We start from the raw sequence: 15969 nt of genomic DNA, 5'->3' as shown, positions 1-15969 counted from the left end.
GGAGTTCTGATTAGAATTCTTAAATTGGTAAATAATTTAGAAGAAATTTTTTTTTTCACGGAGAACAGTCTTTCCATTTTTTCAACTCTTTTGTATTTTTCAGTAAATTTTGATGATTCTTTTAATTTGTCTCATAAAATTCTAATAAAAATTATTCCTAGGCAATTAGAAATGGCATATTTTTCACTATATTTTCCAAAAGATTATTCTGATGCATTGAAAAGTTATTTATTTTTTATGTTACTTTAAATAAATCTCCCTATTTCTAAACATTTTCATTAATTTTCTTCGATTTTCTAGGGAGATACTCACTCCTGAAAATAATGGCATGATGACATTTCATTCCAATGTTATGTCCATTATTTTATAGATGAACAAGGAATTAAGAAAAAGAGATATTCATCTTGTCTATTTCTAGTACATGATAGATCTGGAGTTTTAAGTATTTTTTTTCTAATTCTACAATGTTTCTTTTATGTATACTGACATTCAACTGTTTTTTAGGCTTTATTTTCCAGACATATTTATCAGTTCTCTAAGTTTTTATTTCATTGTGTATATTAAATGTGATAAATTTATGCAGCTCATTGCAAAAATCTTTTTAAAGCATATATATTTTGTCAATAAATCAATATAATTAAATAGAAACAAAAACAACAGGAGACATATAATTGTTAAGTCCCTGAGGCATAGATTAATCCTACAATTCTAATATTTTTGATTCACACAAAGAGCCACATGGTTTGTTAGGCATATTGTTAAGCATTTGATGATTGATTAATGCATTATCTGCTTTTCTTTCCCCAATCTACTGACAGATTCTATAGAACTTGTGGAAGGAAGATTTAATTATATCATTATAAATATACATTAAGTTACTATGTTGCTCTATAATCTGAGTTATGGAATGATTGTACAGAAATATGCAGCTTGTCTTCATGTTCCTCTAATATTTTTTTTGTTGGCTGGTTGCCATGATGACAAATATGCTTCAACTATAGTCTTATGCACTAAGTATCATGGAAATGTACATCTGCATTGAATTTTCCTTTTTTCTTTGTTTTTAAAGTGCTGAGTTCTGATACAAATTTTGGATTGAAATCAAATCTGGGAAGCTTTGGCAATGTTGCTGAAATGATATTCCAATATATTATCCTTTAATGAAACAAGTATAGACAGATGATTCATTTATGAAATTTTTTTTTTGCATCATTACTTGACTTATATACAAATAGTTTTTTATGCTCACTATTTTGAAAACTCCATTTTATTTTTAATATGCTTATTTTCAAATACGATATTTTACTTGGTGAGACTATTAAATCCTACAAAAGTATTTATACATAATCCTTCTGAAACCCAGGAATATATTGTCAGATATTTTATTATATTCTCTAAATATTACATTTAACTATAATGTACTTCCTTTTGCCTGACTTCCCCCTCTGTAATGAACAAAGCTGAGTTTTCTATTACCCAATCTAATTTAAATTGATGTGGCCATAATCATTTTTTAAAACATATCTTAAAAATTTCTTCCAGACTACAAAATTTCCTTATCATAGGAATGTTTATATTGCATCTTAGAGTTTAATTTTTAAACTATTCTTTAATTTTAAATGGATGTTATTCCAAGGATAGAATTACAAGAGCTCTCCCTTTATCCAGCCTCTTCCTGATGTGGTTGGCATCTTTAGTATTAACCATGTGCCTGGGATGAGGCTCTAAAATGTAATGCTGCTGTTTGGTAAAGACAAGCTCGTTCTATTTTTGGCATCGGCTGAGTATCCCTTGTCTCAGGCTACTCACGATGATGAATATTAACATTAACAGAAACCATTAGCACTCTATACCCATTTGGGTTTTGATCCTATTTACCTTCATATGTTAGGTAAGCCTAGAAAAGAAAAGAGAAAACTAGAACCAAGGGATCTGTTTTTGTGCACATTTGGGAACTGATTTGGTTCATTCCTTGAAGTCAAGAGATGTTGGTTAATGGATACAAAAATACAGTTATGTGGAAGGAATAATTTCTAGTATTTGATAGTACAGTAGGGAAATTATAGTTAATAATTTGTTATATATTTCAAAATAGCTAGAAGAGATGAAGAATGTGTGGGAAGTGGCAGAGACATGCTGGAACACAAGTTTGATTCCAAATCCTGTCCTTTCTTTTCCTATGCCACACCAGGCTTTGACTACTTGTTCTTCTCTGCAGTTGAACATCCAGCAGGTGACTTTCTTCCTTTTTCTAAATATAAAATAAAATAAAAATGTATGTGAGTTATTTAAAAGAAAAAGCATATGTAAATCTATGTCTGTCATATAAAGATATAGCTTAGTGTCATCCAAAAACCTTGTAAGAATGTTTTCAATTCTGGCAGTCTGAGTCATTGCCAGGAATAAAAATATGAATTTCAGGCTTGATTTGTATGGGTATCACAATATGGCCTTATGATCATATTAATGGATAATGGCAAAACAGACATTTCAGTTCATCCTTTGTAGAATCAGACACATTCCTAAAGGGTCAATAAAGTCTTTTGTTCTAGTCAATAGTTTTCAAAGATTCCCAAACATTTCACCTTTAACTGTGTTTCCTGAAAACATAAAATTTCTTGTTTAAGTAAATGAATGTCCTGCACATTTATTTTTTCCATAAACAATTCCATCAAACTTTACCTTAAAAGCTGGTAACTTTCCTCTCAGCCAGAATGTACTTAGAGTATTTTCGAGCATAGATAACCCAGACCGCATAAACAGATAAGACAATCTGTGCAGCTCTCTTGGGAAGATAATTTTATTACTTATAACCATCTGGATTGCATCATTGTTGAGCTGAATGGACATCAATATATTTTTTCTGAATTCTCACAAAGTTTTGTACAGGAACAAACATCATAAGTGTTGTAGGCTGATCATTTTGCATCATGTCAAGGTCAGTGTTGCTTTGCACATCAAGGTACACAGCACCATGAGTCACTTATATATTCTCCAGTCATTGAACTTTATTTCCCAAATATGCTGATGATTCTTTAGTCACTAGTATGTCAGGGATTGTATTTCTTCACCATTTATACTTTTGAATCACATCTAACATTTAATATTGTATTTACTTTCCTTATAGTCTTATGCTGATTTGTCAAAGATCAGCTTTGTGAGACATGCATATATTTGATTGTTAGTTGAATTTTAGACTCATAGCTGCAGGGCAGTTGACTGTGTTTGTGTGAGCAGAAGGATGTGTGTATTTTGAAATATGAAGGTCTGTGGTACACTTTATTTAATGTTTCACTTTTTCTCTTATATTTTGTCATATATTACAGCATGATCTCAGAACACATTCTAACTTCTCCAAATAAGGGTAGGCCAAATAAATCTTTTGCTGTCAAGACTGGAAGAAGTTTATTAAAAGAGATGGGTTTATTGATTTAAGTTTATGTTCCTATGAAAGCAATTATTTAGTTCAAAAATTGCCTTTTCCCCTTAGCAAACACTTTCTGCTTGTCTCTAATTTTTAACAAGTGTTCCAACAATTTTGTGACAGTTGTTGAACTACAGGGCACTAGTTCAGTGAAGCATTTTATGTGATAATGCTACCATTTGAAAACAAGCTTTTCTCTCTTTTAAAAAAATCATTGCTCTTTACCAATGTAATAAATACATTATGAGAGTAAAATACTATATAAAATAGTTACGACATTTCATTGCCTTTCGACATCTTTGTTTACAGATGAATGCTAAGAGAAAAGAAAATTCTGTTTCTTGTCCCATAGAAGAAAAGATATACTGTCATCAGACTCCTAGGATTACAAATGAGGCATTAGTTTTCTTTTAAAACTTTAAAATCCATTTCTGGAGGGAAGTTAAGATGTAGAAGTTGCTTTGAACATTTTTGTAATAAATTTTATGAAAATAGAAGAAATTCAACAAAGTGTATCCACAAGTATTTTAATTCAGCAATATGCTACACAATCACTAGGATACTAATATAATAAGTCAAGGTAAGTAGAGCAATGGTAGTTGATATTAACCCAGAGGGTCCTAAACCTAGATTATTGTAAAGTCAAGGAAAATAATAGGATAGTGGGAGTTGATATTAACCCAGAGGATCCTAAATCTAGCACACTGTAGTGTAGAGCATCAGCTCTTCTCTGGATCATGTTTTTCCTCACTCCATTACAAATATTTATAACTTCTTAATATTGTTTATTGCTGCTTCAGAGGCAAAAGGCAGTCTGAGTATAAATGACACCCTCTCTCTCATTCAATATGTCTTTTACATAAGAAGTTAAAAAAAGGTATTTTGTCTTTAAACTGAGAATGCTGGAGGTTCTTTTCAAATATGATTTCAACAGTAAGCAAGAGCTATCTCGGTCCTTTAAAAATGACAAAATTGGTATTGTCAAGAAATGTACTGACATATTTTTCTACTTATGAAATGCTAAGAAACACTAAACACTCTGCCACATCCAAATTCTCACTGACTGCTGTCTAAAGTAAGCAATGGACAGAGAATTGCCACTCTGAGGGAGCAGAATATACTGGAAAAGATCCAAGGACAGTCACCTACTGTTCGTGATTACACTTGTTACAAAAATGGCTATTTTAGACCTAGCAACAATTTTGATTTTAACATCACCTTTCACATTGAACAATATCCTGAGAAAGTGCTGGCAATAATTAAAGCAGATCTTCAATTATACCCATGTTTCATTGTTTGTAAGAATTATACTCCATAGGTCTTGCTGTGCCATGTAGAGATTTGATGTAGGAAAAACAAAGAAATGGTATGAGCCCTTCAGAGCTTTTTGGGAGTGGAACAAAGGAAGGTATATATGCTGAGTGAACATTTCAGAGTAGGGAGTCAATTTAGTTTAATAGTTAAAGGCATAACTTTGAAATTAGGCAGCCTGAATCCCAGAACTGCCATATTTTAATCTATGAACTTGGGCAGGTTACTTATTCCTTCATAGTCTCAGTTTCTTCATCTGTGAAATGGCCTTATAATAGTTACCTATCTCATAAGAATATAGGAAAAATAAATAACGTTGTTTATATGAAGCACTTGGTGTGCAGAAATGACTCTCAGCACTTTCATCATATTATCATCATTATTATCATTATCACAGAGAGATCTAGAAGTTCATTTTAAATGCTGAGTTTGAGAAGGGTAAATACCACTTATGTAGCCTCAGTTCATAGACTACTAGAAAATACTGTATTTCAGGTTCTTGATTTTAGTAAATATACCTGTTGCGTGTATATTGGTTCTTGACCTTGACTATCATGGTGGGTTTGAGCTGGTCAGCTGTTTTTAACAAAGAACTTTAGAAAACAAAAAAGGAATTTATTGATTCAAAACAAGTGAGAATAAGTAGAAAACAGTTATATAATTTATAATATACATTCAATATATGAACAAAGTGAATGTTTGGGTTGATCTTATGCACATTTCTTTTCTTGGAAACAAATGATTGCAACTTGAAGAATGATCCTTCTGGTGATTCGTACAGAGTTTTAGGTTGAACAGGAAGATTGGCAGTAGGCAGAACCTTTGGCATCTTCCAAAAACTGTTACTCTATTTGTCACCTTTTTGCTTATGCCTAAATTGTTAATTATAAGTACAGCAAAGGTGAGAAGAGGGGGCAGAGTCTCTAGCTTCTTTCTCATTTTTCAAGCTCAGCATATTTCATGCTCCATAGCTCTAGGCCTTGATGTCTACAAATAATGCTCAAAAGATTTACTTCTTATAAGAAAATAATGAAATAAAGATTAAATGATGATCACAGAAGAAAGCAAATCTTTGACATTGTGTCTCAACCAATCCCCCCCAAAAAGATCCAAAAAGTGGAAAAAAAAAACACTCTGACTTTGACATTTTCTAAGTTTTGTGGTTTCTTTTTTTCTTTTTATTTTCTTTCTTTTCTTTCTTTCTTTTTTTTTTTTTTTTTTTTGAGATGGAGTCTTGCTCTGTCACCCATGCTGGAGTGCAGTGGCGCAATCTCGGCTCACTGCAAGCTCCACCTCCCCGGTTCATGCCATTCTCCTGCCTCAGCCTCCCGAGTAGCTGGGACTACAGGTGCCCGCCAACACGCCTGGCTAATTTTTTGTATTTTTAGTAGAGACGGGGTTTCACTGTGTTAGCCAGGATGATCTGGATCTCCTGACCTCGTGATCTGCCCATCTCGGCCTCCCAAAGTGCTGGGATTACAGGCATGAGCCACCGCGCCCGGCCAAGTTTTGTATTTTCTATCTTCAACTTGTTCACTGTATTAGTCCGTTGTCATGCTGCTATAAGGACATACCCGAGACTGGGTAATCTATAAAGAAAAAGAGGTTTAATGGACTCTAAGTTTCCATGGCTGGGGAGACTTCACAATCATGGTGGAAGGTGAAGGAGGAGCAAAGGCATGTGTTACATCGTGGCAGGCAAGAGAGTGCGTGTAGGGGAACTGCCCTTTATAAAACCATCAGATCTCATGAGGCTTACTCATTATCACAGGAACAGAACAGGAAAAACCCGCCCCCATGATTCAATCACCCCATAACATGTGGGGATTATGAGAGCTACAATTCAAGATGAGATTTGGGTGGGGACACAGCCAAACCATATCATTCATATCAGTTGCATAAGCAGTAGTTAAAAATTAAGACAATTTTTGTGAACAATATGAACTTTTATATTGTTTTTGATACTTAGTTATTTGCCTGATATTTTCTTAGTTTTCAGAAACGTATTTTAATAGCACGAATTTACTTTACTTTTCTCTCTAGAAATACACCATAAAATAACTTTTTTTTTTTTTTTTTTTGAGATGGGGTCTTGGTCTGTCACTCAGGCTGGAGGGCAGTGGTGCGATCTTGGCTCACTGCAACATCTGCCTCCCAGGTTCAAGTGATTCCCCTGCCTCAGCCTCCCAAGTAGCTGGGACTACAGGGATGCACATCACGCCCGGCTAATTTTTTGTAAAATAACCTATTTTTATTATGGAAGTGTAATATTATATAAGAGAACATTTCTAAAATAGACTTCACGTCACCATAGCACATTGAGCTGGGAAAATTCCCTTTTCCCTTCAAACACATAAATCCTGTTGACCATTAGGCTATAATAATATAGAGGTGGACGGGGGGAGATCAGAGTTAAGTATTCTAAAATCCTTTTCATTATTCAGGAGGAGAATAGAGATATTGATTAACTTTAAGTCTTGTTTAGTATCCATGGTAAAAATTTAAAGCTAGCTAATAAAAGATAAAAATAGAGCACATAAGTTCTAAATAAGTGAGTGGTTAGAAAGATTAAAAAAGAGAACTGGCAAACTCAACCAAATACATAGCAGAGAAGGAGAAAATATAAGCTAAAATGGTAAATAAGAAATCAATGGCAGAAAAAGTAAAATTTACCAGAAATTAGATTATATAAGAAAGAATATTAAATTATATAATGCATACGTGATACACATAAATGATATAACTTGAAAATATTGAAAATACAAAATTAAAAATCTAGTAGGCAATCACTAAGCCAAAGAAAGCTGCTATAGCAATATTAGTATCAGACAAAATAGAATTTAGTGCAAAATTATTAATAGAGATGGTGTCAGTACCTAATGACAAAAGAAAAACTTCACCAAAAGTATAAAGTAATCATACACTTATGTGCAATGACAACATAGTCTCAAAATTTAGAAAACAGATATTGTATTGCATGGAAAATTTTTCAAATTTGTAATTATACACTAATCAGGCAAAAAATAGTACAGAAACTGAATATTTGAATAACTCACCATCAAACTTCATTTAAGACATATATATGTACTGAATTAATAGAAAAATTTATATTCTTCAATAGCACATATGAATAATTAAAAATATATTATGTAGCAGATCACAAGACATATCTTTCTTATTTATTTGTTTATTATACTTTAAGTTCTGGGATACATGTACACAACGTGCAGGTTTGTTATATAGGTAGACATGTGCCATGGTGGTTTGCTGCACCCATCAACTTGTCATCTACATTAGGTATTTCTCCTAATGCTATCCCCCCCTAGCCCCCCACCTTGTGACAGGCCCCAATGTATGATGTTCCCCTCCCTGGGTCCATGTGTTCTCATTGTTCAACTACCACTTATGAGTGAGAACTTGTGGTGTTTGGTTTTCTGTTCCTGTGTTAGTTTGCTGAGAATGATGGTTTCCAGCTTCATCCATGTCCCTGCAAAGGACATGAACTCATCCTTTTTCATTGCTGCTTAGTATTCCATGGTGTGTATGTGCCACATTTTCTTTATCCAGTCTATCACTGATGGGCATTTGGGTTGGCTCCAAGTCTTTGCTATTGTGAACAGTGCTTACAATAAGCATATGTGTGCATGTATCTTTACAGGAGAATGATTTATAATCTTTTTGGTATATGCCCAATAATGGGATTGCTGGGTCAAATGGTATTTCTAGTTCTAGATGCTTGAGGAATTGCCACACTTTCTTCCATAATGGTTGAACTAATTTATACTCCCATCAACAGTGTAAAAGCGTTCCTATTTCTCCACATTCTCTCCAGCATCTGTTGTTTCCTGACTTTTTAATGATCACCATTCTAACTGGTGTGAGATGGTATCTCATTGTGGTTTTGATTGCATCTCTCTACTGACCACTGATGATGAGCTTTTTTTCATATGTTTATTGGCTGCATAAATGTCATCTTTTGAGAAGTGCCTGTTCATATCCTTTGCCCACTTTTTCCATTTTTTTTTTGTAAATTTGTTTAAGCTCTTTGTAGATTCTGGATATTAGCCCTTTGTCAGATGGATAGATTGCAAAACTTTTCTCCCTTTCTGTAGGTTGTCTGTTTACTCTGATGATAGTTTCTCTTGCTGTGCAAAAGCTCTTTAGTTTAATTAGATCCTATTTGTCAATTTTGGCTGTTGTTGAAGTTGCTTTTGGTGTTTTAGTCATGAAGTCTTTGCCCGTGCCTATGTCCTGAATGGTATTGCCTAGGTTTTCTTCTAGAGTTTTTATGGTTTTAGGTCTTATATTTAAGTCTTTAATCCATTTTGAGTTAATTTTTGTATAAGGGGTAAGGAAGGGATCCAGTTTCAGCTTTCTGCATATGGCTAGACAGTTTTTCCAACACCATTCATTAAATAGGAAATCCTTTCTCCATTTCTTGTTTTTGTCAGGTTTGTCAAAGATCAGATGGTTGTAGGTGTGTGGCATTATTTCTGAGGCCTCTGTTCTGTTCCATCTACATATTTGTTGTGGTACCAGTGCCATGCTGTTGCTGTTTTGGTTACTGTAGCCTTGTAATATAAATTGAAGTCAGGTAGTGTGATGCCTCCAGCTTTGTTCTTTTTGCTTAGAATTTTCTTGGCTATACGGGCTCTATTTTGCCTCCATATGAAATTTAAAGTATTTTTTTCTAATTCAGTGAAGAAAGTCAGTGGTAGCTTGATGGGGATAGCATTGAATCTATAAATTACTTTGCACAGTATGGCCATTTTCATGATATTGTTTCTTCCTATCCATGAACATAGAATGTTTTTCCATTTGTTTGTGTCCTCTCTTATTTCTTTGAGTAGTGGTTTGTAATTCTCCTTGAAGAGGTCCTTCAAATCCCTTGTAAGTTGTATTCCTAGGTATTTTATTCTCTTTGTAGCAATTGTGAATGGGAGTTCACTCATGATTTGGCTCTCTGTCTATCATTGGTATATAGGAATGCTTGTGATTTTTGCACATTGATTTTTGTGTCCTGAGACTTTGCTGAAGTTGCTTATCAGCTTAAGGAGATTTTGGGCTGAGATGATGGGGTTTTCTAAATATACAGTCATGACATCTGCAAACAGAGACAATTTGACTTCCTCTCTTCCTATTTGAATACCCTTTATTTCTTTCTCTTGCCTGATTGCCCTGGCCAGAACTTCCAATACTATGTTGAATAGGAGTGGTGACTGAGGGCATCCTTGCTTGAGCAGGTTTTCAAAGGGAATGCTTCCAGCTTTTGCCCATTCAGTGTGATATTGGCTGCAGGTTTGTCATAAATAGCTCTTGTTTTTTTGAGATACATTCCATCAACACCTAGTTTATTGAGAGTTTTTAGCATGAAGGGCTGTTTAATTTTATCAAAGGCCTTTTCTGCATCTATTGAAATAATCATGTGGTTTTGGTCATTGGTTCTGTTTATGTGATGGATTACGTTTATTGATTTGTGTATGTTGAACCAGCCTTGCATCCCAGGGATGAAGCCAACTTCATTGTGGTGGATAAGCTTTTTGATGTGCTGCTGGATTTGGTTTGCCAGTATTTTATTGAGGATTTTCACACTGATGTTCATCAGGGATATTGGCCTGAAATTTTTTGTTATTGTTGTGTTCTGCCAGGTTTTGGTATCAGGATGATGCTGGCCTCTTAAAAATGAGTTAGGGAGGAGTCTTTCTTTCTTTCTTTGGTTTTTTTTTTTTTTTTTTTTTTTGAGACAGAGTCTTGCTCTATCACCCAGGCTGGAGTGCAATGGCACAATCTTGACTCACTGCAAACTCCACCTTCCCAGCTCCAGTGATTCTCCTGCCTCAGCCTCCCGAGTAGCTGAGATTACAGGCACGTGCCACCATGCCCAGCTAATTTTAGTATTTTTAGTAGAGATGGGGTTTCAACATGTTGCCCAGGCTGGTCTTTAACTCCTGACCTCAGGTGATCCACCTGCCTTGGCCTCCCAAAGTGTTGGGATTACAGGCATGAGCCACTGTGCCTGGCGGAGTCCCTGTTTTTCTATTGTATGGAATAGTTGTAGAAGGAATGATACCAGCTCCTCTTTGTACCTCTGGTAGAATTCGGCTGTGAATCCCTCTGATCCTGGGCTTTTTTGGTTGGTAGGCTATTAATTACTGCCTCAATTTCAGAGCCTGTTATTGGTCTATTCAGGGATTCAACTTCTTCCTGGTTTAGTCTTGGGAGGATGTATGTGTCCAGAAATTTATCCATTTCTTCTAATTTTCTAGTTTGTTTGCATAGAGGTGTTTATAGTATTCTCTGATGGTAGTTTGTATTTCTGTGGGATCAGTGGTGATATCCTCTTTATCATTTTTTATTGCATCTATTTGATTCTTCTCTCTTTTCTTCTTCATTAGTCTGCCTAGTGGTCTATATATTTTGTTAATCTTTTTAAAAAATCAGCTCCTGGGTTCATTGATTTTTTGAAGGGTATTTCATGTCTCTATCTCCTTCAATTCTGCTCTGATCTTAGTTATTTCTTGTCTTCTGCTAGTTTTTGAATTTGCACAAGAGGTATCTTTTTTTTTTTTTTTTTTTTTTTTTTTTTTTTTTTTTTTTAGATGGAGTCTCGCTCTGTCACCCAGGCTGGAGTGCAGAGAAATATCTTAAGGAATTCAGAAGAATTGATAAAAATATTAAATATCATAAAGTGAATTTGGAAAATAAAATGAGTGAAAATTTAAAAATAACTCTATTTCATCATCCAGACATAAATATTGTTAATATATGACACATAGATATCACTATTTTCAAAGTGTTTGTGGCAGAGACTGATGAATGTTCCCAGGGTCCATTCTCCTCATACCTGTCTTCCCTTTAATAATAGAATACCACTTCCTTCCCAAGTTTTAACTGGGCACATGGCTTCCTTGGTGGGGATTCCATTTTCCAGCTCCCCATACAGTATTCTTTTGGTGTGAATTAGGTGAGTTGGCTGATGAAATAGCTTTAGTCATTCAGTTGCAGGCAGTGTCTGGGTGGTGCCCTAGTTAGGGATCTATGAACTTCTACACACAGCCTGAAACAGTGTAGGAGTATATGTGGGTGTGCATTTTTCTGAGGTGAGGGTTGATAACTTTCATCGGATCTGTGAACTTCTATTTCAAATATAAAATTAAATTAAAGCCTGTGCCCTAAAGCACTGTGGGGTGTCAAGATAGAACTATGTGGGTTTCTGGAGGATATCATGGGGCCCAGTTGCCTACATGCCCTGGTCAACTTGGATGTTATGGGAGTGAAAAATAGTCTCTACCTTGTTCCAGTCATTGTGTTTGGGGTTTCTTTGTTATAACAGTTTAGTTTGTATGCTAACAAACATAAATTCCTTTATTTAAAAATATATAAACATGAACCTACATTTTAGAATCTGATTTTAAAATTAATAAAACATGAACAGTTGTCTATGCCGTTAGGATGTTTAATGTCATTTTGCATACTACTTCATTTTTTATATGGACTGGCCATAATTTAAAGATTTCCCTTTTGTTAGAGTCATAGGCTGTCTATAGTTCTCTGCGGTAAACATTGCTTAGTTTATAAACATTGCTGAATTGCTAAATCATTGTTTACATTTGTCAATATTTCTTAAGAATAAATATGTAGAAGCAAAATTACATTTTGGCTTGTTTTAGGCCTGTTATTTATTTTCTTCACTGTATGTCAATATTACTGAGAAATCTGTTATATAACTGGTAGTTTCATCCCATAACATCAACTAGATTTGTTCTAATTTATGCAGAGATGCTCACCCCACTCCATCGGTGATTCTGAATTTAACTGAAAACTGGCCCCTAAGTCCCAACTATACAGGTTAATAATTTCCCTATCAAGTCAGAAATGTGAATCCACAGCATTTTTTTTCTCAGAAATGAATTAATGTCTGTTTCTTGATCTAAAATGCTATGTTATCCAATGTGCTTATTACCTTATTACATTTAAAGTTAAGATTCTCTGTTATTTCTTTGCAGTGCAGATTACTTAGGACAAAGACATATAGACAATTATAAGTTTATCCCATTTACTATTCATTGGGAAATATCAAAATAATAAATTTAGTTTAGAAAAACATATCTCCTCTGGGTATATATCCAAAGAAAATAAAATGAGTATCTCGAAGAGATATCTGCTCATGCTCATTGCAGCATTACTCATAATAGCCAAGATACAAAAATAATACGTGCCCATTGATGGATAAATGGATAAAGAAAATATGGGGTACACACACACACACACACACACACACACACACACACACACACACACGGTAGAATATTATTTGGCCATAAAAAAAAGGAAATCCTGCCATCTGTGACTATGGGAATAAACCTGGAAGATATTATGCTGAGTGTAATAAGCCAAATACAGAAAGGCAAATACTATATGATCTCACTTAGATGTGGAATCAAAAAAGTCAAATTCATAGAAACAGAGAATAGAACAGTGTTTGCCAGGGTCCAGGAGATGAAGAAAATGGGGAGATAACAGTTATAGGTTGAAAACTTTCAGTTATAAGATGAATACGTTCTGGATGTCTTATGTACAGCGTGGTGACTATAGTTAGTAATACTGTATTCTATGCTTGAAATTTGCTAAGAGAACAAATTTCCTCACCACACACACAAATACACATACAAAATAGTTAACTATGTGTGGTGATTGATGTGTTCATTAATTTGATTATGGTAATCATTTCACAATGTACATGTGTGGCATATTAAGTCAACAAATTATTATAACACCTGAAATATATACAACATTTATTTGTTAATCACACCCCAATAAAGCTGGGCAAAAAATGAAAAAATGTATCCCCTTTAATTACAGACTAAGTAAAAAAAATCAAAAGTAGAAAATGTCCAAAATTAGCTTGGAATTTCTTTTAACTCTTCTTAAATAAATATTTTTCAATTTTTCAAAAAAGTTATTGGTGCTACTTTTATCATATCTAAATAATATAGAATTATAACAAGGAATGATTATTGCATTACAGTAATTCTTAAAAGCAGTTTATCTTAAAGTAATATATCAGATGAATTCCTTTCATTTTTATAAATTTAGAATAGTAGTATGGGAAAAAAGGAACTAGAAAATATTGAGTTAAGGTGCACAATGAAAGAACAGAATTGTTGACTTAAAAAAAACTTTTATTTTCATTTCAGGGGTCCATATGCAGGTTGGTTCTATACATAAATTTTAAGTCACAGGGGATTGGTGTGTGTATTATTTCCTCACTAAGCATAGTACTCGACAGGTAGATTTTCTGTCCTAATCCTTCTCCACCCTCTACCCTCATGTAGGCCCTGGTGTCTATTGTTACTTTCTTTGTGTTCATGTGTACTCAATGTTTAGCTCCCACTTATAGGTGAGAAGATGTGGTATTTCACTTTCTGTTTCTGGGTTAGTTTGCCTAGGATGATGGCTTCTAGTTCCATCCATGTTGCTGCAAAGGACATGATCTCATTCTTTATTATGGCTGCATGTATTCTATGATGTATATATGCCATATTCTCTTTATCTGGTCTACCGTCGCTGGGCATTGATGTTGATTCCAAGTCTGCTATTGTGAATCGTACTGTGATGAACATGCACGTCTCTTTATGGTAAAATGATTTATATTACTCTGGGTATATATCCAGTGATGGGATTGCTGGGTTGAATGGTAGTTCTGTTTTTAGCTCTTTGAGGAATTTCCACACTGCTTTCCACGATGTTTGAACTAATTTACCCTCCCACCAACACTGTATAAGCATTCCCTTTTCTCTACAACCTCTCCAGCAAATGTTATTTTTTGACTTTTTAATAATGGCCATTCTGACTGGTATGAGATGGTATCTCACTGTGGTTTTGATTTGCATTTCTCTAATGATTAGTGATATTGAGCATTTTTTCATATGCTTGTTGGCTGCTTATATGTCTTCTTTTGAAAGTGTCTGTTCATATGCTTTGTCCACTTTTTAAAGGGGTTGTTTGCTTTTTGCTTGTAAATTTGCTCAAGTTCCTTATAGATGCTGGATATTAGGCCTTTGTCAGAGGTAAAGTTGTGAAAATGTTCTCCCATTCTGTAGGTTGTCTGTTTGCTTTGTTAATAGTTTCTTTTGCTGGGCAGAAGCCCTTTAGTCTAATTAGATCCCATTTGTCAATGTTTACTGTTCTTGCAATTGCTTTTGGTATCTTTGGCATAAAATCTTTGCCCATTCCTATGTCCAGAATGGTATTGCCTAGGTTGTCTTCCCAGATTTTTAGAGTTTTGGTTTTTACATTTAAGTCTTTAATCCATCTTGAGTTAATTTTTGTATATGGTGTAAGAAAGAGGTCCAGTTTCAATCTTCTGCGTATGGCTAGCCAGTTATCCCCACACCATTATTGAATTGAAAATACTTTCCCCATTGATTGTTTTGGTCAGCTTTGTTGAAGATCAGACGGTCACAGTGTGCAGCATTATTTCTGGGCTGTCTATTCTGTTCCATTGGTCTCTGAGTCTGTTTCTGTACCAGTACCATGCTGTCTTGGTTACTGAAGCCTTGTGGTTTAGTTTATAGCCAGGTAACATAATGCCTCCTAAAATAGTTTTTTCTAGTTTTGTGAAGAATGTCATTGGTAGTTTGATAGGAATAGCATTGAATCTGTAAATTTCTTTGGGCAGTATGGCTATTTTATGATATTGATTATTCCTATTCATGAGCATAGAATGTTTTTCCATTCATTTGTGTCATCTCTGATTTATTTGAGTAGTGTTTTGTCATCCTCATTGTAGAGATCTTTCACCTCCCTGGTTAGCTGTAGTCCTAGGTATTTTATTTTATTTTTGTGTGGCTATTGTGAATGTGATTACATTCTTGATTTTGCATTTAGGAAGGACCTTATTGTAGTACAGAAATGCTACCGATTTTTGTGCACCGATTTGTATCCAGAAACCTCGCTGAAGTTGTTTATCAGATCTAAAGGCTTTTTGGCAGAGACTATGAGCTTTGTTAGGTATAAAATTATACCATATGCAAACACATAGTTTGACTTCCTCTTTTCCTATTTGGATGCCTTTTTTTTCTTCCTTTTGCCTGATTGCTCTGGCCAAGATCTCTCACTTTTTTCTTTGCAGTTTTCAACAATAAATAGGTACTGGTGAGCTTCATATCAATCACATCAAAAGTAGATTAAAAGTGACATACTTAGAAATGATATATATTTTTCTTGTAGTG

Source organism: Homo sapiens, chromosome 8, assembly GCF_000001405.40.
Source record: "Homo sapiens chromosome 8, GRCh38.p14 Primary Assembly".
Taxonomy (NCBI): Eukaryota; Metazoa; Chordata; class Mammalia; order Primates; family Hominidae; genus Homo; species Homo sapiens.
This window is presented reverse-complemented; position numbering follows the sequence as displayed.